General features: G+C 36.4%; 1 protein-coding gene across 1 annotated transcript in view; it reads left to right on the top strand.

Annotated features, from left to right (window-relative positions):
• Nucleotides 1-26,981, top strand: part of DNAJC15 (DnaJ heat shock protein family (Hsp40) member C15) — a 90,628-nt gene that overhangs the window by 51,974 nt on the left and 11,673 nt on the right. Inside the window, exons 4-5 of the mRNA NM_013238.3 lie at nucleotides 3,053-3,129; nucleotides 10,209-10,279. Coding sequence (NP_037370.2) covers nucleotides 3,053-3,129; nucleotides 10,209-10,279 — 148 coding nt within the window. The remainder of the gene's footprint in view (nucleotides 1-3,052; nucleotides 3,130-10,208; nucleotides 10,280-26,981) is intronic.

Genomic DNA, 26,981 nt, shown 5'->3' on the forward strand with positions numbered 1-26,981 from the left:
TGTTATGACTAAATCAACTAATTACCTTTAATTTAGGGAGTAACGTATGCATCTAGTAAAAATTTTGGTTTCCTGAAAGAAACCTTAAAACCAGCCCCTATTCCTCTAAGTCCCTCGTTTTTTGAGACAGTCTGTCTCCATTGCCCAGGCTGGAGTGCAGCTGTGCACTCACAGCTCACTGCAACCTCCACCTCCCAGGGTCAAGTGATTCTCCTGCCTCAGCCTCCAGAGTAGCTGGGATTACAGGCATGCACCACTACACCCAGCTAAGTTTTTGTATCTTTAGTAGAGACGGGGTTTCACTGTGTTGGCCAGGCTGGTCTCTAACTGACCTGAGGTGATCCGCCCGCCTCAGCCTCGCAAAGTGCTGGGATTACAGGCGTGAGGCACCACAGTCGGCCCCCTTACTTCTTTCCATTTGTATCTGTATCTGTATTTCTCTCTCTATCTCTCTTTATATATGTGCATACTCTCTATGTATGTTTAGAAAGATATAAAATTTGTTCAGGTTAGTATGTGTGCTTAACCCAATTTGATTATCCTTCCTCTCCTCAAAACTTGTGTCAGGGGTGGGGGACTATTTGTTTTTTTACTGGATTATAAATTACTTGAAACTTGGAGAGTATATTATATTCTCACAGTATTGATTCATTGATAGATTAGCATCTGTGTGATGAAGGACAGTCCTTGATCTCTCATTTGAAAAGTGCCTGGTACACAGCAATTGCTGAAGTGTTTATTGAATGAATTAATTGCCAGGAATTATTTATTACCAAGTAGAAATTTATAATAAGCTGTTCAAAGAGTATAGCTTATATAAATGGCCAGATCTGACTCCCTAGAACCCATTTTTTAAGCTCTAGTCATTTCCTTAGTTTCTTTTAGTATTCTTCTTTCTTTAATTGTATAAATAGCCTGTGCTCATTGTTGAAAATTTAGAAGTTAAAAACAAAGAAAAAATTATAATCCCACCAGCTAAAAATAACTTTAAAGTTATATGCTTTCAGATTTTATTTCATGTAAGCATACCTATTTTTCCCTACTTTTGTAAGGAAATGGTTTCATGCTTAGAAACGTTTAATGCCTGTAATCATATATGTGTATGTTTCCTCCTAAAAGCTAAGTTTATACATCCTGTTTCTCTGTTTAGAGCTACTGAAAATAGTGTCTTTACTTGCTGTCTCCATTCCTTTCTTTCCATTCTGTCTTAAATACACTCTAATCATACGCTCACCTCACTTTCTGCAGCTCTTCTCAGTTTTTGATGTCCTCTTTGCTAAATCCAGAGGTCAGTTTGTGGCTCTCATTTTACTTTACCTATTAGAAACTTTGAAACCATTTTTCATTTCCTCACTCTTGACTTGTAGTTACCATCCTCCTTTACTGCTAGGCCTTGTCAGCCTCCTTGACTGATTCCTCTCCATTTCTATACCACAAAGTGTTGCAGTCTTTAGGGAAGACTCCTTGGACTTCTAATTTTTAAACCATCTTACTTCAGTCTCATGGCTTTAAATGCTATCTGTACACTAATGACTCTCAAATGTAAAGTCTGATGTTAAGTCAGACATTCTCCACTTGGATATTTAAGACATTTTAAACTTAGTATATCCGAAATCATTCTCCTCATGTCTGTTATTCACAACAAATAAACAGCTGCTCCTTTCCTCAGTCATTAAATGGCAATTTGGCAGTTTAGGCCAGAAACCTTGAAGTCATTTGCACAGCTTGGGTTCTCTGGAAAGCAGAGTGAGATAAAGATTAGCAAGCTATACTTTTATTAAAGAGTGCTCTTAGCATAAACAACTCCAGAAAGAAAGGGAAGGACAAGTTAGGCTTCAGTGCATTCCTACAAAAGCCTCAGCCAATCTCACAATAACCTCTAAGCAAGGATGGCTCATTGTAGTTATCCCAAGTTGGGGCAAGGGGTCATAGGATTAAATGACATTACCCAGGAAGTGAGCATATATATAAGAAGTCCAAGGACTGAACCCTAGAGAAATACAATGTTTCTATCCCATGTCAACCAGTCAGTAGATACAGGCTGCCCTGCAAAGTGGGATAAGCTTGACTTCCTTTAGGCAAGGCAATTCCTAAAGTGTCTGACAGCTGGGAGCTATCAGCCAGCCACAGCCCCAGTGTCTGGGGAGTAAGTCCTTCACGCCTGATGGGGATCTGATGAGCACATAACAGTGTCCTCAACATCATTCTTAATTTTTCTTTTTCTCATATCCCAAATTCAATCCATCAAGGAAATGTTAGTTCTGTTTTAAATATACATCCAGAATCTAACCACTTTTATCACCTCCTCTGCTACCGCCTTAGTTCATACCATCATCATCTGTTGTCTGGATTATTGTTATGTTTTCTGAACTGGTCTGCTACTTCTACTCTTGCACCTTTCTATTCTCTACATGGCAGTTAGATTAAATCGAAGTTAGATTGTTATTCCAGTGCTCTGGCTTCTCCTCCCACTTAAAATTCTAAATTCCTTCCATTGTTTACAAGGCCATCCACAGTCTGGTTCCCATTATATCTCGAGTCCTCCTTTTCTCCTTGTTCACGCCTCTCCAGCAGCATTGAAACCTTTTAATCCAGCTTCCCAGCCTCTCTTGGCTTGCCTGTCTGCTAGTGTGACATACTCCCCTCTTCATTAGTTCCTCCCCATTCTCTGTTGGCTAGTGTGGTAGGCTAAACGATGTCTGCCATATCAACATTAAATGACTTCATCAAGGTTATCCAATGAGAAAAGTACTACAGAGCTTAGAAAAAGTTCAAGCATTTTGCTTCTACCAGTCTGTTTTGTTCTTTCTGTTGTATCTTGGTGTAGAAAAATTAATCTGTTTTAAAGTGAAAAAAAGTTAGTATTTTTTAAGACTTCATATTGGTCAAAATTTCTTGAAAAGTTTCATTGTTTGGTGCTTCCCCCCGCCCCATAATTTTGAGTTGACTTCTAGTAAAATGCATTACTCTCACTGCAGCTACATGATGAGATTGAGGTCATGCCACCTCATACGTGGAACTAATGATTTCTTGCTCTTTCTTTCCTATACAGAGCTTTTCATCCTACTATAAAGGAGGATTTGAACAGAAAATGAGTAGGCGAGAAGCTGGTCTTATTTTAGGTGTAAGGTAGGTGTGCAGCATAAGTATTGTTTTGTTGTGTGGCCAAGCTTGTCTTTAAAAAAGAGAAAACGTTACAATAAGGTTATACTTAGACTTAAAATTATGAGTAGGTGGCAGAGGAGAAAATATCAAATTTTTATATTTTAAAGCCTCAAATCTAAAAGTATCCCACTCCCCTAAAAAAACAAAACAAAACAAAACAAAAAAACAGGCAAAGTTGTGAAGTACCTTTATTCTTTAACAAGGATCTATAATATTTGAATACTGATGTTTCAGTTAACCAAAATATCCTTTTTTGTGACATTCTCTCTAGACTCAGTTTTATAATTTGATATCATATTGTTAATTATAATCCAGGATATGTTTCATAGTTCTTTTCTGCTTCTGCAGTGTGACATCAAGCATATTTATTGTGCTTGTTTCACCTTAGTATCCTTTTATTGTCTAACTTTGGACAATATGAGAGAAAATTAATGATATTATATAATTGCTGTGTGATATCATTTAACATTTAATGTTAAGAATATTTTCCCCTATGATAATCATTTGTTTACCATATGTTCCCTTAGAGCCTACTCTCAAGTTTTTGTGGGAATTGGTTACAGTATGTCATGTACAACAAATCTTCTGATGATATAATCAACACAATTAAGCAAATTAGATAATAAAGTCCTGTATTGACAAAAATGTTTTGATATCTTGTAAATTTTTTAAAATTTAAAGATTTTTTAAAAAGCCAAAACATTTTATTATTTCTTATGACCTAGCAGAAAAAACAAGAGTTGGGAGGAGGAGCCCAGTTTAGTTTGGTGCTTTATTTAAGAGATCTCATCTCTTCTTAGATGAGATCTCTCCTTACCAGACAATAGAAAATAGGAAATGATTTTAAGCATGAGGGTCAGATTAGGAAGTTTGCTATACTGCCAACTATTTCTTGCTTAATATCATTCAGAATGGCATTGTTATTTTTCCTGAACTTTTATTGGCCTCCCAAAATACCCTGTTGATTATCTTGAAATCTGAGTATAAAACATTATAAAACCAAGTACAAAGGTTTTTGAGGATATCCTTTAATATTATGCAGGGCACTTACGTTGTTAGGACAGACAGGAGTTGACTGTATTTTTACATTCTCTTAAGATATATATTTATAAAGTTTTATCCCATAGAACTGAAAGCTGTATAAAATTCACTTGGAAAATTCAGTGATTAAGAGCACAGACTCTGGTATCAAGTATATATGCGTACAAATACCAGTTTAACACCTATTAAATGGGTGACCCCAGTTTAATCATCTGTAAAATAGAGATAATAGATTAGTTTTAACTGCATAAAGTTGCCGTGAAGATTAAATTATATAATATATGTGAATTTCTTTTTTTGGAAGTTTTTTTCTTTTTTAAACTTTTAGGTTCAGGGTTACACGTGCAGGTTTATTATAAAGATAAACTTGTGTCACAGGGGTTTGTTGTATAGATTATTTTGTCACCCAAGTACTAAGCCTAGTACCCAATAGTTATTTTTTCTGCTCCTCTCTTACCTCCTACCCTCCACCCTCAGGTAGGCCTCAGTGTCTGTTTTTCCCCTCTTACTATTTAGCTCCCACATGTAAGTGAGAACATGTGATATTTGGTTTTCTGTTTCTGCATTAGTTTGCTGAGGATAATGGCTTCCAGTTCATCCATGTTTCTGCAAAGCCCACGATCTCATTACTTTTTGTGGCTGCGTAGTATTCCATGGTGTTTATGTACCACATTTTCTTTATCCTGTCTACCACTGATGGGCATTTAGGTTGATTCCATATGTTTGCTGTTGTAAATATTGCCACAGTGAACATATGTCTGCAACACATGGTACTTACTAACTACTCAATAAATAGCAGCCAAGCAAAGCAGATTATTGCCCTGAGTCTGTCGCTTAGGCGCTGCCCTGTATGATCTTGGTCAAGCTTTTTTGTTTTGTTTTGTTTTTAGCTTTTCTATACTTTGGCTTCTTCATTTTTGAATTGAGAGTAATAATATTCTGCCTTGTTGGAATAATATAAGAATGATATGATGATACCTTTTTACATAATACCTACCAAATATCAGGTGCTGAAAAAAATTTGGCTCCTGTTTCTTTCCATGTCTGTCACGAACGCAGAAGCTAGATATTTGTCCTAACACATTAAGTGGAAAGGTAAATGAAACTTATCTGCTTTCCTCTAGCCCTTTCTTTTCAGTCAGGCAATGTTGATTATGACAAGATAATTTTAAGATGTGAGTATATTCATTGAATCTCAGCTGTGTAGACTATATAACAGGTAGGTGAAGGCAAAATGGAGCCGATCCTTTTGATAACCTATTTTAAAAATACTGTATGTGTTCTAGATGATACTATACATTCTGACATATTGCATATGAGAATTGTTTATTGAAATGTGTATTTGAGTCTTTGCCTTATGTTTTTCCTTGCAAGAGAATAGTGTCCTGCAATATGACTCATGTCTGTAACAAAAAGCCTGAATTATTTTACAAAGCTGCCCAGGAAAATTGTTTTTATACCTGGTATAGTAAGTCCTCACTTAATATCACCCATGGGTTCTTGTAAACTGTGACTTTAAACAAAATGACTATAATGAAACCAATTTTTTAAATCAATGAAAGGATGTTGAAGGAAATGACATTATTCAGGGACCTGCCATACATCATTTTGCTTAAAATCACAGTTTTTAAGAACCTATCAACAGTATTGTGTATTATATGAAATGATGCACATTTATGATTTTTTTTTTTGAGACAGAGTCTTGCTCTGTTGCCCAGGCTGGAGTACAGTGGCACGATCTCCCCTCACTGCAAGCTGCGCCTCCCAGGTTCACGCCATTCTCCTGCCTCAGCCTCCCAAGTAGCTGGGACTACAGGCGCCCACCACCACGCCTGGCTAATTTTTTGTATTTTTAGTAGAGACGGGGTTTCACCGTGTTAGCAGGATGGTCTCGATCTCCTGACTTTGTGATCCGCCTGCCTCAGCCTCTCAAAGTGCTGGGATTACAAGCAGAAGCCACCATGCCTGGCACATTTATGATTTTTAAGCTTTCTAAAAACTTTTGTAGAATTCTGTTTATAAACTATATTAGTCCATTCTCAAGCTGCTATGAAGAAATACCCAAGACTGGGTAATTTATAAGGAAAAAGAGGTTTAATGGACTCACAGTTCCACATAGCTGGGGAGGCCTCAATAATGGCAGAAGGCAAAGGAGGAGCAAAGGCACATCTTACATAGTGGCAGCAGGCAAGAGAGCATGTGTAGGGGAATTGCCCTTTATAAAACCATCAGATCTCATGAGACTTAGTCACTATCATGAGAACAGCACAGGAAAACCCGCCCCCATCATTCAGTTACCTCCCACCGGTTCCCCTCCCATGACATGAGGGGATTATGGGAGCTATAATTCAAGATAAGATTTGGGTGGAGACAGAGCCAAACCATATCACTATATGTTACTCAAAAGCTCAGTAGTAGAAAAAAAAAAAGATGAAACCAAAACTGCTCCATTTGCCAGAAGGTCCAAGAACACCACTCCACATACCCCCACTGCCAGCCAGATGCATTCTAGGGAGGTGTTTGAAATCTCTGGTCTAGGTACCATCATATTTAAAGTTATACTGGAGGTATATCATCATAGCTACATTTAGTTTTTATACTAAGCTTAAAAACTAGGCTTCTCTCATGTTGTTTAATCTTTACAGCAACAAACATGTATTAATATTAAAATGTATTAAGGTCCAAGAGACTTAATATAATAATAACTAAAAGGAAATAAACACTGCCAGCAAAGCAGAATAGGTCTCATTTCCAGAGCTCACCATTAGGAGTCTGATCATTATTATCTTAAAGGCAGAGTGTTTTGAATGCCATACTTGTGCATATGAACTTTCCTTCCTTGTGTTTACTTTAGTTCAGTGGTTGGTGGACCTCAGTATGCATAATGCGTTGTGGAGTTTTATGTACAAAACTATGTGGAACTGATTTTCAGAGCATTGTAATTAATTATCAAGGAAATTTTGACGGAGTAATTTTCAGATTTTGTATTATGTGCTCAACTAAAACTTAATATCTAGAATAAAATGGACCTTGCCATATATCTTCTAAAAAAATACAATGGTTCAGCAGAACATTCACCTATATATATATATATACACACATATATGTGCGTATGCGTATATGTGTGTATATATATGTGTGTGTGTGTATATATATATGAAATTTGGATTTTACTGAACTTATCTCATTATTTAGAGGGCCACATGGTGATGAAATTTATGAAATAGGTTTTTAAAGCTCCCCCTTTTTTACTTTAAAATTATTTGCATAGTAATCCTTTATAATATTAGTATTTACTAATATGGAGTATTTGTTATTTTAAGGAGTTTACCTTTTTACAGTCATTTTTGGAGGGTGATGTAAAATGCATTAAGCACTTGTACGATATATAATCCTAATTTCTTTTTTTTGTTTTTTTTTGAGACGGAGTCTTGCTCTGTCACCCAGGCTGGAGTGCAGTGGCGCTATCTTGGCTCACTGCAAGCTCCGCCTCCTGGGTTCATGCCATTTTCCTGCCTCAGCCTCCCGAGTAGCTGGGACCACAGGCGCCCGCCACCACGCCTGGCTAATTTTTTGTAGTTTTAGTAGAGACAGGGTTTCACCATGTTAGCCAGGATGGTCTCGATCTCCTGACCTTGTGATCTGCCCGCCTCAGCCTCCCAAAGTGCTGGGATTACAGGCGTGAGCTACTGCCCCCGGCCTACAATCCTAATTTCTATTTTAAGATACAAATCATAGTTTCAGCCCTAAAGTTATTTAGAATCTACCTAACACAACATGCCAAATACATACAGAACAGCTAGAAAACATAAGTAATAAAGGCAAGATGTGCCACAGAGCACCTGTGTAGCAAAAAAAGGAGTTGATAAATGTAGATTAGCCACAGAAATCGAAATCATTGAGCTGTAATTTTTCAGTGTAATTTTTTTTGTTTCTTAATAGGCAGTTAAACAGTATAGTGTTCATACCTCTGGTATGATGTTTAACAGTTATTTTCTCAAAATTCAGTAGTCTTTTAACCAGACAATGTTTAATTGTTTATCTGGGAGGTACCTACAAGCCAAAAAGTAAGTTTAGAATGCTGCTTCAAAGACATAGGTAAACAGCCAAGAGGAATACTCTTAAGTCCTTATAGGAAAATATTTAATTCATTTTACTCATGGAAGACTATTTTATGTGCCTACTCAGCAATTAATAGTGCATTTTAATGTGCTTGGTGATCTATCACTTACCCACAGATCAGAGGTAGCAAGTAACTAGCAAGGAACTGCCAAAGACTAGAACAATAGCAGAATCAAGGATTGACAGCTGATAGCATAGGGGAGGCACTGTTCAAAATAGAACTTAAATGAATAACATTCTAGGTCCATTTAGTAGGAGGACAAGCAAACATCTGCAGACCTTGAGAGTTTAATTGGTAATAATGACAATGCTGTGAGCCATCCAAGAAATGTTAAGTTAGGTTATTTACACTTTATTTTCAAAATGCAGGAGATATCTAATACAGTCTCATAAGCATCCTTTACTTTCATGTGTGCTAGGTTATGTTAATCTTTTTACTTATATTATCTAATTTTTCTTTAAAATAAACCTGGGGGTAGGTTTTATTACGTGTATGCTACGTATGAGAAAATTGCAACTGAGTTTAAGCAAGACATACTTTCACAGCTAATAAGTAGTGGAATCAAGAATTTGAACCTGTTTCTGACTAACTGTAAAAGCACATGCTTTTAGCTATTATGTTGTGGTTCATCCATGCAAATTAAATTATTTTGAGCTTTACAATAATTACACTGTGCTTTAAGTCAACTATTATTATCCCCATTTGAGACTCAGAAAAGTTAAGTAGCTTAAACAAGATAGTATAGCTATTAAGTAGCAGTAGTAGGATTTTGTTGTTGTTAGTGTTAATTTTTTTCCCTTGCCTAGAAAATGTACTAATAAGCAACATTTCCAATACTGGATACATTGGGTTTTACCCAAATAATTTTAGGATTATTTAATTATCTACTTTAATTTTTGTTTACAGCATAGGCTTTAACAGCCAAGCTTTTCCCATGGGTTTTTTTCACAAAGCTAAATAACTATGAGACATAAAGAGTTTTGAGATCCTCTGTAAAGGTAAAAGATAACTATAATGAAGCACTTGCTACATTCCAGGTACTGTTCTAACATTTCGTAGGCATTAACTCATTTAATCCTTACAGTTGCTCTAGCCCTGTTTTACAGTGAGGAAACTGAAGCACCAAGAGGATAAAAATTTGATCAAGCTTACACAATCTTAAGTGGCAATACTGGCATTAAAATCCAGCAGTGTGCCAGGCGTGGAGGCTTACACCTGTAATCCTAGCATTTTGGGAGGCCAAGGTGGGTGGATCACGAGGTCAGGAGTTCGAGACCAGCCTGGACAACATGATGAAACCCTGTCTCTACTAAAATACAAAAATTAGCCGGGTGTGGTGGCGCGCGTCTGTAATCCCAGCTGCTTGGGAGGCTGAGGCAGGAGAATCACTTGAACCTGGGAGGTGGAGGTTGCAGTGAGCTGAGATCATGCCACTGCACTCCAACCTGGGCAACAGAGCAAGACTCCTCCTTCTTGGGGGGTGGGGGGGGAAAGTCCAGCAGTATGCCTCTGGAATCCAAATACTTGTCTGCTACACCGTATATACCGCCTTCCCCCCAAATAACTTAGAAGCATAAGTTTTCAAACTTACAGTATTGTCTGCAGAAGCTGACTCCCCTAACCTATATGTTGTTTTGTTTTTTAAATTGATTGAGAATAAGGATTGGCATTACAAAGGACTGAAGAAAAACACATGTAACATTGAATCAATGATTTATTTTGATGGTTAGTGGAATTAAGTGGAAAGCTGTAGTTTCATATTTGTCCACAAGATGGTGAAATTCTCATTAGGTATAATTTTTTGAAACCCATATAAACCCTTAATTTATAATCTGCATTTGATGCTATTTATTATAAGCACTGTAATTTCTTTTTACAGCCCATCTGCTGGCAAGGCTAAGATTAGAACAGCTCATAGGAGAGTCATGATTTTGAATCACCCAGATAAAGGTAGGTAGAATTCCTATTTTTCATAATATGTATATCAAAATATGCTGTGAATTCCTTTCAGATTAAAGTCATATATGATATATAGTTGAGATGGAAGTTTGTGCGCCACATGTATTGTGATTTTTTTCTCATAAATGAGCATTTAGGTTGGAGTTCAGTGATTCACACAAGTAGTGGATTTATATTATCTGCTTTCAAGAACTTAGTTGCTGGTTTTTATATATGACTTCCTGAACCATCTGATGCGCCTACCATTTTTATCAAGAAAAATCGAAAACACGAGTTATGGACTCTTTGGTTGTATAAACTGATTTGGGCATCACGAATTGTATTTATGTAACCTTCAATGTAAAAGCACAAGAGTTAGAGGATTTCCTCCAAATCTGTGAATGTAATATGTCATAGATGATTCTGAATTTCTGAATTTTATTCTGGAAGGCTCTGAGGCTGAGCCATTTGTTTTTAACTGGCCAGGTTTTTAATGTAAATTTATCTTACAGAAAGACAATTATTATAACTTTAACTACACTACAGCTGCTTGAGAGGGAAAGCCCATATGTTCATTGCTGTTTCTGCTTTAAAATAACAGATGGTAGAAAGTTACACTGTATTTCAGAAGTCAAAGGGGGGTGGGGGAGGAAAGTGAAGGGTTTCTTGGATTCTTATTTACAGACTTTCAGTTTCCTAATTATTTCAAAAAAATTAAAAACAAATTTTGGATTCCTCTCCATCCTAACCAGTACCAAAATAAGGCATTCTTTTTCAGCTTTCTCACTTAATTACTTACTATAAAAGTTTTTTTCGCTAAGCATCATCTCTGTTGGTTTTTGCACTTATTATTCTTTAGTGTGAATAAACATGAGAATAAACTTTCAAAAGAGGTTTTGCTAAAGATTTCTAAACAGTTTCAACAGTTACTGAAAGATTCACTCAGCTAATTTACTTTGCATTGTGGGCTATCTTATGAGCAAGTAGTGTTTAAAGAATTACGATTTATTTTGAGATGGTATATTTATTTGAGGTGGGATTGTTGACTATAGTGGGCTTACTAACATCCTTTAGTCTCACCCTGTGTGGGGTAGCTGGGTGTGAAAGAATGGACTTCGGAGCAAGGGATCAGCATTTTTCTTTGGCTTCTACCTTCCAGTCAGCATTGTGGCCTTGAAAACTCCCTTAACTCCAAATATGAGTTTTATTATTTGCAAAATGACAGGATTTATTTCTAAAGTCCTTTTTGTTTGCATGATTTAATAACCTTTTATGCCTATTCAATTAATGTAGAGGCTGTACCCTATGTTTCTGTTCAGATCAGATTTTTAACTTAAGAAAGATGCTTTTAATGTTTTTGGATTATTGTTCCCTCTGAGAATATATTGACAACTGTGGACTTTTTTTCCATATAACTGCTCATTCACCCAAAATTTATAAACATTTGGAGTTTCAGAAAGTTCATGCACTTCCTAAAACCCATCCATATACTCACAGTTAAGAACTCCTGCTCTAGTAAAAGTGTAGTGATAGGAATGTTGGAACTTCTCTCTTTGATGGAGTTGAGAGATGATAGCTCATAAATCTAAAGATTATCCTTTGAGAAGGAAGATTGTTTTGTTTTCAATGGGAAGCTAACAGATTTTAAACAAAAATGCCTCATTGCCTTTGGTAAGCGAAATCCAAGAGTATTTGGGGAAGTATGAGAATGGGCAGCTTTTAATTTTGTTTCTTCTTCTTGGAATCCTTCAACATATTTACTTTAGCCAGGTCACCACTGGGTATTATAGGTAGTTGGAAATACTTAAATCTCATTTCCAGTGCTTCCGAATTCATGAATATGTTTCCCCACCCACCCCCAAGGAACTTTTCTGTTGGTTTTGCTACCAGCTGATAGAACAAGTTTGGAATTTCAAATGTGTGACCAACTATAATTTGTTACACATTTCATTATCAGCTGTGCAAAGAAAGTGACACCAGAAAATTAGGTGTGGGAAATGGCTGAAAATAAATTTTTGTAATTAGTTTTAAATAAGCATTCAGACGTATTTTGGTAAAAAGGAAATTTTTCTTTTTCAATGTAGTGAGATAAAAAAATAATGCAGTAAAAACATTTCGTGTCCTTGATCTAATGCTTTCAAGGCTAATATCTTTTAGATTACTGCTTTTCTTAAATTGATGAAGAAAGAGGTTGGTGGTTATGAAATGAGTAGTTTTACAGTAATGCATAGTGAATATAGAAGGGGAGAGGACAGATTGCTTAGAGATGTCTTACAGGCTGTCTAATGCAGTCTTAATCAATGTGTATTTTGCCTATTCTTACCAGTCCAGTTTGTGCAAGTTAAAAACAGAAACCAAAAGTAAACATTTAGAAAGCTTATAATATCGCCACGATACCCAAATGTGTGATACTTTTGTGCTATGTAAAAGTATTGGTCCACTAAAGATTGGAAATGTTTAAAATATTTAAAAAGTACACCTTTGCCGTAGCTTGAGAGGCACTGATCTAATCAATGCTGCCTCCTAAATCTGGGCTTTCTGCTCTGTCCCGGGGAAAATGTCCTATTAGCTCTCCTTCAAGACTTTTAGTGATTAAGAGCTTCCTGTTTCACAAGGCAGCTTGCTTTACTGGTGGACAGCTCTAACTACTAGAAAGTTCTTTCTTGCATTTAGATGAAATCTGCCTGCCTGCAGTGGGGAGATTCTCAACCTTTTCCCACTTACACACCTTTCAGTAAACACGCAGTATTCTCACACTTCCTTATTAGAGTGTTTAAGTCAAAATTAAATATTGGGATCAAAAACAAGTCAAAGTAATTATACTGTTGAATGGATTTTCTCTAATTATTCTCATTGTAAAGTAAGCTAATTTTTATCTGAAGTCCTGATAATAATATATTGTAATTTCTTACAGTATATTACATTTAAAAATGTGTTCTAAATATTTAGAAAGAGATAATCTCCAAGAGTCAGCATGGATTCACTAAGAAAAGGTGATGCCTAATTAACTTGGTTTTTTTTTTTTTTTGATAGATTTACTGGACTGTTTGTTTTGGAGGGTTCATCTTTCTTTTCCCTTCATTTCAGCATTTTAGATTTAAGGCTTTGTGTTAACTAATTTTTTTGGTAAAGAGAAAATTTTGTTTTATGCATTGATTTTCCTTGATAAATGCTGAGATCCTTAAAAGTGAAGAACGTGGCTTACTCTTCTTTATAACTTATATGGCTGACACATCATAAACTCTAAATTCGTAAGTTTTTTTGGTGAGTAAATGAATAAACAAATGGATAAAAACAAGGCAAACACTTGGTAGGTAAAACAGAATTGGTAGTGATAACTAATACATTAAATAATTTCTTAGATTAGATTGATAGGAAACAACCTGACACTAATCTTCCATTTATTCAAAAATTATTTATTTAGCACCTACTATGTGCCAGGCATTGTGCTAAATCTTAAGACAACTTCAACAAGACAATTAGATCTCTGTCCCCGTGGGATCATGCATTCTAATGGAGGAGCAGACAAAAAATAAGTAAACCTATTTCAAGTTGTAGCAAGGCGATAAAGGGTATAATGAGCCAAGATATAAAACACAGGAGAGAGGCAACTTTACATAGGATGACTGGGAAAACCTCTGTGAGGAGATGTACAGGATGAGAAGGAGCTAGCTGTGTGAAAAGTGGTAAACAAAGTAAAGGGGCTAATGTGCAAAGCCTCTGAGGGAGTGTGCTTAAGGACCTGAAGGAAAACTAGTGTGATAGGAATGTAATAGGCAAATGGAAAGATAGCATGAGATAAAGTGGTACCCAGATTTTTAAAACTAGGTATGTATTATGATAATGAAATACTGTAGGTTCTATATAAGATTTTAACTTTGTTCCAAATGCAAAGGGAAGTTACTGTTAACTTTTAAACAGTAGAGTGATATAATTCAGTACACCTTTTAAGAAGTCATTTTTCTTTCATCGTCAATCTCTATTTTTGATTTTTAAGTATACTTTAATTGAAGTGTAATTTATGGGCAGAAAAGTGCACAAATCATAACTATATTCCTTTTTCACTTTGCCAGCCTTTGCACTGATGGTGTAAAAATATTGGTGGGTAAAACTGGTGGTGTCTTAACATTAGTCAAGGCAGTGACACCAGTCTATCCATATATATGCATATGGGAAAAATGAATCATGTGATGCCATATGCAAAATTAATTCTTAATGGATTATAACCTGTTAAAAGAAAAACTTCAGACAAATTTAGCAGAGTTTATTTGAGCAATGAATGATTCATGAATTGGGCAGCACTCAGAACCAGAAGAGGTTCAGAGGGCCCCCTTAACAGCATAAGCAGCAAGCTTTTATAGGCCAGATAAAGAAGCAAAGTAGATAAATTACCTGATTGGCTTCAGCTAGGCATCTGCCTTGTTTTGCATGGGCATGGTATGATGAAACATTTACCTTGTTTGAGCATGGTGTGATGAGTTGGCTGCTTGTGATCAGCTGAAACTATCTGTTTGTTATACTTCTAAGTTGGGTTTCAGTTTGTGTAAGTACTAAGTTAGGTTGTAGTTCATTACGTAGGAACTAAGTACAGAGACAGCCCCAGGCTAATGGCATCCTGCTTATTTAATTTAACAAACCTAAATATGAAAGGTAAAACTAACTTCCATATTAAAAAAAACATAGACTTAGGCAAAGATTTCCTATACATGGCATAAATTAAAGGGGAAAATTTTGCCTCTATTCATGAAAAAAACTAACTGGTTATTTTGCCTTTTTTTGAAAGTTGACAGATATTGTTATCAAGGCGCTCTGGCCTCTTAAAAGAAATTGGGCAGCATTCTTTACTTTCTGAACGTTTGTGTAAGATTAGTCTTCTTTCTTTCTTTTTTTTTTTTTTTTGAGATAGAGTCTTGCTCCGTTGCCCAGGCTGGAGTGCAGTGTTGCGATCTTGGCTCACTGCAAACTGCGCCTCCTGGGTTCACACCATTCTCCTGCCTCAGCCTCCTGAGTAGCTGGAACTACAGGCGCCCACCACCACACCTGGCTAATTTTTTTGTATTTTTAGTAGAGATGGGGTTTCACTGTGTTAGCCAGGATGGTCTCCTGACATCGTGATCCACCCACCTTGGCCTCCCAAAGTGAGATTAGTCTTATTTCTAGGTATTTGTAAGAGTTCACAAATGAAGCCATCTGGGCTTGGAGACTTCTTTGTGGGAAGGTTTAAAATTACAGATTCAATTTATTTTATTTTTTTTATTTCTTTATTTTTTATTTTTGAGACAGAATCTCACTCTGTCACCTAGGCTGGAGTGCAGTGGCACGATCTCTGCTCACTGCAACCTCCACCTCCCGAGTTCAAGTGATTCTCCTGCCTCAGCCTCCCGAGTAGCTGGGACTACAGGTGTGTGCCACCACGCCTGGCTAATTTTTGTAGATTACTTAGTAGAGATGGTGTTTCACCATGTTGGCCAGGCTGGTCACGAACTCCTGACGTCAGGTGTTCTGCCTGCCTTGGCCTCCCAAAGTGCTGGGATTACAGGCGTGAGCCACTGCGCCTGGCCAATTCAGGTTATTTAAAAGATACACATCTCTTTCACATTTTTCATTTCTCCTTAATATCATTTTTGGTTAGTTTTTTTCTTAGGAATTTGTTCATTTCACCTAAAATTTCAGGTCTATTGTTACAAATGGGTTCATAATATCTTCTTATTACCTTGGTAATGTTTGTAATTGCATTGTTAAGCCACATTTTTATTCCCAATATTAGTACTTTATTTGTATCATCTCTTATTAATCTGTTTATAAAATAATTTTTTGCATCATTGTTATTTCATTCCTTCCACTATCTTTGAGTTTATTTGCTGTTCTTTTTCTAATTTTTTGAAATGAATAGTCAGATCACTGGTTTCAGCTGTCATTCAGTTCAAAATACTGTAATTTTCATTATGATTTTTTTTCTTTGACCTGTGTGTTATTTGACATGCATTCCCTCATTTTTTAACAATAGAGGGTTTTGTAGTTATCTCTATAGTATTGATTGCTAGCTTAATTCCATTTGGGAAGAGAACATACTCTGATTTCAATAATCTAGCATATGGTCAATTTTGGGAAAAATTTGTGATCACTTGAACAGAATGTATATTCTGCAGTTACTCTATGCAATGTTCTAGATATGTGAGTAAAGTTTGTTGACTGTATTGTTCAGATCTTCTGCATTCTTACTATTTCTTGTCTGCCTACTCCATTATCTGTTAAGATAGGGGTAAAACCTCCTACAGTGATTGTGGATTTGTCTGTTTCTTCATTTAGATTTTTTTGCTTATGGTGAAAAGGATTTTGGGGACAAATGATTTAGGATTGTTAAATCTTACATATGGATTTCTCCCTTGTTTTAAATATCTCTCATGATTTATAGTACTGCTTTTTGCCATAAAGCCTACCTTATCGAAAATATGTATAGCTGTACCACCTTTCCTTTGGTTAGTGTTTACATGGTATATCTTTTTTCCATCTTTTTATTTTCAGCCTTTTTGTATCTCTCTTGTTGGTTTGTCTCTTCCAAGCAGAATGCAGTCATTTTAAGTGTGACAATTTTAGACTTTTAATGTAACTATTCAGTCCTTTTACATTTAATGTAGTTTACTGGTATTTGAATATATACATATACACACACACATGTGTGTGTGTATATATATATATAAATGTTACTTTTTGTTTTCTATTTGACTCACCTATATTCCTTTTTCTGACCCTTTACTTTTAGCTGGTTCTGTTTTTTAAAAATTTTATACTTTTTTCTTTAGTAACTTGATAGATACATTTTTTTAAAAGACCATTTATTTTGGGAGGCCTGGGCAGGAGGATTGCTTGGGCTCAGGAATTCAAGACCAGCCTGGGCAACATAGCAAGACCCTTTCTCCAGTAAAAATTTAAAAAAATTAGCTGGACATGGTGGCACATGCCAGTTGTTCCAGCTACTTGTGAAGCTGAGGTGGGAGGATTGCTTAAGCCTGGGAGATGGAGGCTACGGTGAGCTATGATCATGCTACTGTACTCCAACATAGGTGACAGAGTGAGACCCTGTCTCAAAGAAAACAAAACTGTTTCTTTAGTGACTGTCCAAAGAATACAGAATACTTTCTTGACTTACTACAGTCTGAAATAAAATATTACTTTGGCCACTCCTAAAGTAATACTGGGACTATTAATTTTTTCCAGTTCATTGTTCTTTCTTCTACACTGTCTAATTTCCTCTTAAACTATCTATTAAGCTCTTAATGTCATTTCTAAAATTTCCAGTTGATTCTTTTTTATGAAATCCAATTCTCTGTAAAATTCTCTGTAATTTTACGTATCTTTTCCATCTTCCCTCTGTTTTCTTAAATATATTACTTATAGTTATTTGGTTTTCAGGCCTTCTGTTTGTATGCAAAGTAATTTTTTTGAATGCCATACATTTTGTATGAAAGCAACAGTTTTCAAACTTTTTTGTCTCAGACCGAAAAAGACTTTATATGGATTCTATCTGTGAGTATTTACAATAATAGAAATTAACACTGAAAAATTGTTTTCTTTTTATTTTTCTTTTTCTTTGTTTTCATTGAGACAGGGTCTTGTTCCATTGCCCAGGCTAGAGTGCAGTGGTGTGATCACAGCTCACTTCAGCCTCGGCCTCTCAGACTCAAGCAGTCCTCTTACCCTAGCCTCTCAAGTACTTGGGACAATAGGTGTGTGCCAACATACCCAGCTAATTTTTTATTTTTATCTTTGTAGAAATGGACTCTCACTATGTTGTCCAGTCTGGTCCCTAACTCCTGGACTCAAGCCGTCCTGCCACCTTGGCCTCTCAAAGTGCTGGGATTACAGGCATGAGCCACTGTGCTGGCCTAAAACTGAGAAAGTTTAAATATATTTACCTATTAATTCATTTTAAAATATTAAACTTCTTATATATTAGTATAGATAACATAATCTTTATAAAAATATATCTTTTCCACAATAAAATTTTTGAAGACTAATGAGTAAAGTGACATTGTTTTACATTTTTGCACATCTCTTTTAATGTCTGGCTTAACAGAAAATACCCTGATATAAATATCAACCTCTACATTCATTCTGTTGTGATATGTTGTTTTGTTTAAATGTATGAAGAAAATACGACTTCACACAAATAGGTAGTTGGGAAAGGAAAGAGTATTTTATTCATCTTTTCAAATAATTGCAGATATTCTTCCTTGCTATTAAACCAGAACTCAACAAGTGGTAGCTTCTTAAAGATTAGTTGCATTTTGGAACCTGAAACCATGCCAATGAACTTTCAAGGTCTATTATATTAAAATCTATTGGTCTATCTTTTACTTTGAATTTTTTTTTCCCATCTGTGATTTTGTAACGTCATTCATTGGTCAAATACTGCTTCACTGAGAGTTACAAATCATCCAAATGTTGATGTATTTCATTTTATCAGTATTTCTAAAGATGTGGTCCCCACACTGTCAGCAGCTTCCCCTGGGCAATTGTTAGACATGCAGACTCTTAGGTTCCACCCTAGACCTACTTAATCAGAAAACCTGGGGTTGGGGCCCAGCATTTTGTGTGTTACGAAGCCCTCCAGTTGATTCTAATGTACACTAATGTTTGAGAATCACCGCTCTAAGGGTTCCAGCTGGGTTTCTGGGGTGTTCAGTGGGGTCCCTATGCGTGGCAGGTTCTGATCTCTAATCGCAGTCTCCTTAGCATTTTGAAACTTCCAAAAACTTTACTATGCTTTTCAGAAGCTTCTTGCTTTTTTCAGAAACTTTCTACTTTGCTTCTACCCTGTACAAGTTCAGAATTTGGTATATACTTAGAGGGAAAAATCAGCTGTGTATCAGGCTCTATTTTCAAACTTGCCTTTTTCAGTTGAGTTCTAAATCTTTGAGTCTACAATTTTTGTCTTAGCAGCTTGTGAGACTGCAAGAAGCCTTGCCTGCCCCCAGCAGCAGCCTTCTTGTGTCCATTGCCCATACTTCTAATTTCTTGCGTTCCACCAAGAATCATCAAATAATCTAAGGGAAAAAGCAATTTCAGAATGTCATTTTACCTCTAAATTTCCTCCCCTTCCGGAATCTTTGGACCCTCAAGCCATAGTTTTCTTAGAAGTTTCCCTGTAACACTAATTCAACAGGTGGGGTTTTTTAGTGGTTGTTTCATTTTTGTAGTGAGTTTTGACTGGCTTTTTTTAGTTGCTTTTAGTGTGAGCATCTAACACACTACTCCATCATAACCAAAAGCAAAAGTACAGAAAGTTACTTTTGAGACAGTATGACAAATTAATTGGCTAGCCAGTCATCCAGGAGGCTGGTACAGTAATATGAGTGAGAAATAATGATGACCTAGCTTAGGAGGGAGACAAGAAAGTGAATTTGAGATATGTTTTAGAAACAGAAGCAACAGTTACTGCTGCTTGATTTGATACAGGAAATTTAGTATTTCCCCTTGATTTCTGAGTCAAAAAATTAGGTAGATGGTGGAGCTATTTACTGAAATGGGGATGATCTAGAGTGGACAGGTGATTGTAAACAGGTTTAGGAGAAAAGAAATACTGTGTTGATGTTAAATGAATTAGTCAGTAGATTGTCCAAGTGGAAATAGAGAATAGGAATTGAATAAATGACTCTAGAGTTCAGAGAAGCAGACTGGACTTAAGAATCATCAATATAAGATGGTGTTGAAACCAACCTTAAGAGGTCATGGAAAGTGAAAGTATGGATAAGAAATAGGAGGAAAAAACCCCGAGGATCCAGGTCTAAGGAACCAAACACTTATAGATCAAGTTAGAAAAGGGGAAATCATCAAAGGAGACAGAAGGAAAAAAATGTAAGGAGAAAATGATACCATAGAAGCTAAGAAAGGAATATATTTAAGGGAACCAAGTGATCAACTGGGCTGAATGCTGCTATGAGAACCATTAAAATAAGGATAGAGAGGAGGGTCCAGAGTATTTTTTCCACACTGGAAGACTTTGATGACCTTAAAAAACAGTTTTAATTGGTGCAGGGCTAAGGAATGAAAAGATGCGGAAGTTGAGTTAGCTTATATACACAACTATTTTGAGAAGTTTTGTGAGGAAGAGGAGGAGAGAAATGGAATATTGTCTGCAACAGAGGGATGAGTCATTAAGGGAAAAATGCTGTTTTTTGTTTTATTTTGCTTTTTACTTTTTTTTTTAATTATAAAAGCTTGTTGAGTAATTTTTAGCAGGTTTGTTTGTCAGTGGAAATGATCGAGAGAAGGTGATTTAGAAGAGATTAAATTTTGGGGGAAATAAATGTAATGTTTTAAGTCTCAAAAGTCAATTGTATAACTGTGGGACAGAGATTTGGCAGTGTTTCACATGGAAAAGAGCCATGGGACATGTATTTGATCTCAAGGCCTGTAAGATTCAACAGCATAAAAGCTGCTAAAAATTTTATGCAGTCCTAAGCTGCATAAAGGACACATAGTATCTTTATTAAAGACCAAATATTACTGCAATCCTCTATTTATTTGTTATGCATTCATTCAATTAATATTTATCCAGCTGTACTGAGCTAGGCATTTAGATCTTATCTAGAATTTTGTGTCTGTTTCTGGATCCCAGATTTTTTATGGATACTGACAAACCAAATAGTATTCAGAGGAAATTGAACAGGATCATGAGGTGTCTGGAAACAATGTCATATGAGCAATTATTCATTCAACAAAATTTACTGAGTACTTAATGTAAGCCAGATAATGCACTAGATACTGAAGAAGATAACCAAAGACCTTGCTGTTAGGAATCTTATATTCCACTGTGAGAGACAATAGTAGATAGGTAATTGGTAGTTTAAAAATGGCCACAGATTCTTCATAGCTCCTCCCATCAAGAGGTGGTCTGATTTTTCACCCTTTGTATTCAGGTTGGCCTTTGTCATTTGTTTTGACCAATAGAATATAGCAAAAAATGACATGTGATTTCTGAACCTAGGCCTCAAGAAGCATTGCAGCTTCAGCTCTTACCTTCTTAGATCCTTGAGTCCACCAAGTGAAGAAGACTAAGCTCTCCTCCTGACGGAAGAAACACCAAGTAGAGAGAGGCCTAGCTATCCCAGCTTAGGCCCTAGTGAGGCCATCCTGGACTACCCAGCTCAGAATAACCACCCTACCAATCCACAGAAAAGTGAGAAATAAAAAGAACATTGTTGCTTTTCGCCACTAAGTTTTGGGGTGGTTTGTTATGCAGAAAAGGCTGATATAAAAAATGCCCATGATGTCATGGATCATAAGTGCTTTGAAGAAAAAGCAGAGCATGAGGTAGAGAATGGCAGCTGGAGGGGAGGCGGATGCTGATTTACTTATAGCCTTCTTAGAAATTCTCTCTAAGGAGATAATATTTGAGCAGAGACCTAAGGCAGTAAGTCATGCAAAATGAAGAAAGAATATTTCAGGCTGAAGAAACACCAAGTGCATAGGTCCTGAAACGAGAACATATGGTTTGTTTCTGGAATTATAAGCAGATCAGCTGGAGCATAGGAAGCAAAAGGGAGAGTGGTAGGAAATACAATTGGAGAGGAAGCCCAAGGCTAAATGATAGAGTGGCTTGCAAGCCATACTACAAACTTCAGGTTTTACTGTTGGGCATTATGGGAATGCTATTACCTGTTATGCAGTATTAGGAAGACTATTTTGGCAGCTATGAAGCAAATAGGGAGTCAAGAGTGGAAGCAAGGCAGTCACTAGAGAAAACTGTAGTAATCCAAGAGAATGATACTGTTTTGGATGAGGGTTGTTGTAGTAGAGGAGGTAAAGGGGAAAAAAAAAGGTCTAGGCCCGGTACGGTGGCTCATTCCTGTAATCCCAGCACTTTGGGAGGCTGAGGCGGGGAGATCACCTGAGGTCGGGAGTTCGAGACCAGCCTGACCAACATGGAGAAACCCCATCTCTATTAAAAATACAAAATTAGCCGGGCGTGGTGGCACATGCCTGTAATCCCAGCTACTCAGGAGGCTGAGGCAGGAGAATCACTTGAACCCGGGAGGCAGAGGTTGCGGTGAGCCAAGATCTAGCCATTGCACTCTAGCCTGGGCAACAAGAGCAAAACTCCATCTCAAAAAAAGAAAGGTCTAATTCAAAATATATTTTGAAGGAACACCCAACAAAGCTTATGAATCAGGGGTAAGAAAAAATGAGGAAAGATCACTCCTGGGTTTTTGGCCAAAGCAGTGGTTAGAGAAAAAGAAAATTTGCTATACTGAGAAACTTAGAGGGGATCTATGCAATATCAAATACTTAAAATGTGGCATGTATATGTGAAGTCCCTCTTGTATGCCTCTATGAGGACAGAATTATGTTCACTGAGAAGAAACTCTAAGCAGTGAAAATTTGACCCCTATAAGGAAGACTTTTCTTCTAGCTGGAACGTAAGACATCAGTCAGCTAGTAATTATTGAGGCTTTCTGGAAGTTGGTAGAACAGGGTACTTTCTAGGCACTGAAGCTACAGCAGTGGAAAAAGTGATGTGCAGATAGAGGCAGCAAAGGTAATTTGATTGAAAACTACTAGAGAGCAACTTATTAGGGATGTCATAGAAGGAATATATTTATTGGGTAAGAGGTAGAACCTCTTCAGACCCTTCCAACTCTGGGTTTCTGTGATTCTCTAATGATCTGATAAACCGAATCAGACTCAAATATTTTTCTTCAGATCCCCTTGTCTCTACATTATTTAATGCTATATTGAGATACCATACCATACAATTCAATTCATCCATTTAAGGTATACAGTTCAGTAGTTCTGGTATATTCTCAGACATGTGCAAACATCGCACTCAATTTTGGAACATTTTGATCACCTCAGGAAGAAACCCCTTTAGCTATTGTCCCCTCATCTTCCTGTTCTCAGTTCAGTTTCATTGATCAGTCTGTCTGTCCTTGTCCTAGTACCACACTGTCTTGATTACTGTTGCTTTGTAGTAAGTTTTAATATTGTGAAATGTGAGTCCTCCTACTTTATTCTTATTTTGTAGAATTGTTTTGGCTATTATGGTCCTTCCATAATAATTCCATATGAATTTTAGAACCAGCTTGTCAATTTCTACAAGGAAATCAGCTGAGATTTTTGATAAGGATTGCATTAAATCTGTAAATTAGAATGGGGAATTTTGCCATTTTAACAGTGTTAAGTCTTCTGATCCACAGAGACATGATGTTTTTCTATTTATTTAGATCTTCCTTAATTTCTTTCAACAGTGTTTTGTAGTTTACAAGTCTGAGTTTTGGACTTCTTTTGTTAAGTTTATTCCTATTTTATTCTTTTTAATGCTATTGTGAATGGAATTATTTTATAATTTTATTTTCAGGTTGTTTATTATAAATGTATAGAAATACAATTAAGTTGTATATTGATCTTTTATCCCACAACCTTGCTGAACTTATTTATTAGGTCTAATAGTTATTGGTGGATTCTTTAGGATTTTCAGTATACAAGATCATGTCACCTATGAATAGTGATAGTCTTACTTCTTGCTTTCCAATCTGGATGTCTTTTTCTTTTTTAACCTCATTAGACTGGCTTGAACCTCCATTACAATGTTGACTAGGTTTATTAAGAACAGACATCCTTGTCTTGCTTCTGATCTTAGGGAAAAGCATCCAGTCTTCGCTCATTCAATCTGTGGGTTTTTTGTAGATGCTTTTTATCTACAAACATACTAACACTTAGAGAACGTCTGTCTATTCCTAGTTTGCTAGGTGCTTTTTTCCTGAAAGTGTGTTGAATCTTGTCAAATGCTTTTTCTCCATGTATTGAGATCATTATGTGAATTTTTTTTTCTTTTGATGAGACTCGATATATTTATTTTTTGGTGGTTAAACCAAACTTGCATCCCTGTGTTAAATCCCACAGGGATTTGCAAGGTTTATAATTCCTGCATCCCTTGGTTGGTTGTGGTTTATAATTCTTTTTATATGTTTATATATTCTTTTTATATGTTGCTGGGTTTGGTTTGCTAGTATTGTGTTTTAGTATCTTTGCATCCACACTTATAAGATATATTGATCAGTAGCTTTCTTATGATATCTTTGTCTGGTTTTGGTGTGAAGATAATATAATGTAGGCTTTATAAAATAAATTAGGAAATGTTCTCTTTCTCTCTTCTATAAGCCATCAGGGGCTGGGCTTTTCTTTGTGGGTAGTTTTTTGTTTACTGATTCAGTCTCTTGTTGCAGGAATATTCAAGTTGTCTCTTCTTGAGTCAGTATCAGTAGTTTGTATCTTTTAGGAGCTTGTCCATTTTCTCTAAATTATCTAATTTATTGACATACAGTTGTTTCTCTTCTTTTTCCATTGTCTTAGGTTGAAGGTTAAGTTATTGAAGTCTTTTTTTTTTTTTTTTTTTTGAAACAGGGTCTCACTCTGTCACCCAGACTGGAGTGCAGTGGCACAGTCATAGCTCACTGCAGCCTTGACCTCCTGGGCTTAAGTGATCCTTCCACCTTAGCCTCCTGAGTAGCTGGGACTATAGGCACATGCCACCTTGCTCAGCTAATTTTTTTATTTTTTGTAGAGATAGGGTTTTGCCCTGTTTCTGAGGCTGGTGGTCTCAAATTCCTGAGATTAAGTGATCCGTGCCCCCCTCACCCTCCCAAAGTGCTGGGATTACAAGTGTGACCCACTGTGCCCAGCCGTCTTCTTTTTTAACATAGACATTTATAGCAATAAATTTCTCTGCACTGCTATCGCTGTGTCCCATAAGCTGTGGGTGGTGTTATTCATGTTTAATACATTCTATTATTGTCGGAGAATACAGTGTATTATTTCTGTCCTTTTCAACTTATTAAGGTTTGTTTTGTGGCCTATTATATGCTCTGTCCTGGAGAATGTCCTCTGTGCATTTGAGAAAAATTGCGTATTCCATTATTGGGTAGTGTTCTGTAAATATGTGTTAGTTCTTGTTAGTTTATAGTATTAAGTCTTCTGTTTCCTTGTTGGTCTTTTGTGTGGTTGTTCTGTTATTGAAAGTGGGGTATTAGCTGGTATTTATTCTTCATTTCTTAGTTTCTGTTTTTGTTTTGGTTGGTTTTTGCTTCATATATTTTGGTGCTCTATTGTTAGGTGCACATATGTTTACAGTTGTCCCATCTTCCAGGTTGATTGGCCCGTTTTTCATTATGGAATGCCCCTTTTTGTCTCTAATAACATTTTTGGTTTCAAAGTTTACTTTGTCTCATTAGCCACTCTAGCTTTTCAGTGATTTGCTGCTGTCAGGATATGTCTTTTTCCATCCTTTTACTTTTCAGTATTTTTGTCTTCAAATCTAAAGTGTGTCTCCTGTAGAGAACATATAGTTGGCTCATGCTTGTTTGCTTTTCTTCAATTTTTAATAGAAACAGGGTCTTGCTATATTGCTCAGGCTAGCCTCAAACTCCTGGGCTCAAGTGATCCTCCTGCCCCAGCCTCCCAGAGTGCTGGGATTATAGGCATTGAGCCACTGTACCTGGCTGGGTCATGTTGTAATTTAATCCGGTGCGACAGCCTTTGCCTTTTGATTGGATTGTTTAATCCTTTCTCATTTAGTGTTATGATTTATTATTTACTTTTATTTCAGTAGTTTTGGGGGAACAAGTGGTGTTTGGTTGCATGGAAAAGCTTTTTTGTGGTGATTTCTGAGATTTTGGTGCACTCATCACCCAAGCAGTGTACACTGTACCTAATGTGTAGTCTTTCGTCCCTCATCTCCCTTTTCTTTCTTCCCCCTAAGTCTCCAAAGTCCATTATATCATTCTTATGCCCTTGTGTCCTCCAAAGTCCATTATATCATTCTTATGCCCTTTCACTTATAAGTGAGAATATACAATGATTGGTTTTCCATTCCGGAGTTACTTTGCATAGAATAATGGTCTCCAATTCCATCCAGATAGTTGCAAATGCCATTATTTTATTTCTTTTTATGGCTGAGTAGTATTCCATTATAGATATGTACCATGTTTTCTTTATCCTCATGTTGGTTGATGGGCATTTAAGCTGGTTCCATATTTTTACAATTGTGAATTGTGCTGCTATAAACATGTGTGCAAGTGTCTTTTTCACATAATGACTTCTTTTCCTGTGGAAAGATACCTAGTAGTGGGATTGCTGAATCAAATGGCAGGTCTTTTAGTTCTTTAAGGAATCTACATACTATTTTCCGTAGTGGTTATACTAGTTATACTCACACCAGCAGTGTATCAGTGTTCCCTTTTCACCACATCCATGCCAACATTTATAATTTTTTTTGATTTTTTAATTATGGCCATTTTTGGAGGAGTAAGATGGTATGGCATTCTGGTTTTGATTTGCATTTCCCTGATAATTAGTGATATTGAGCATTTTTTTAATGTTTGTTGGCCATTTGTGTATCTTCTTTTGAGAATTGTCTTTTCATGTCCTTAGCCCACTTTTTGATGGGATTATTTATTTTTTTCTTGCTGATTGGTTTGAGTTTCTTGTAGATTCTGTATATTAGCCCTTTGTCAGATACACAGTTTGTGAGATTTTCTCCTACTCTGTGGGTTGTCTGTTTATTCTGCTGATTATTTCTTTTGCTATGCAGAAGCTTGACTGAAAGCTTTTATTATGAATGTGTGTTGAATTTTCTGAACTTATTGACATGATTATGTATTTATTTTGGCTGGGCGTGGTGATTCACGCCTGTAATCCCAGCACTTTGGGGGGA

The sequence above is a fragment of the Homo sapiens genome, chromosome 13 (assembly GCF_000001405.40).
Source record: "Homo sapiens chromosome 13, GRCh38.p14 Primary Assembly".
Taxonomy (NCBI): Eukaryota; Metazoa; Chordata; class Mammalia; order Primates; family Hominidae; genus Homo; species Homo sapiens.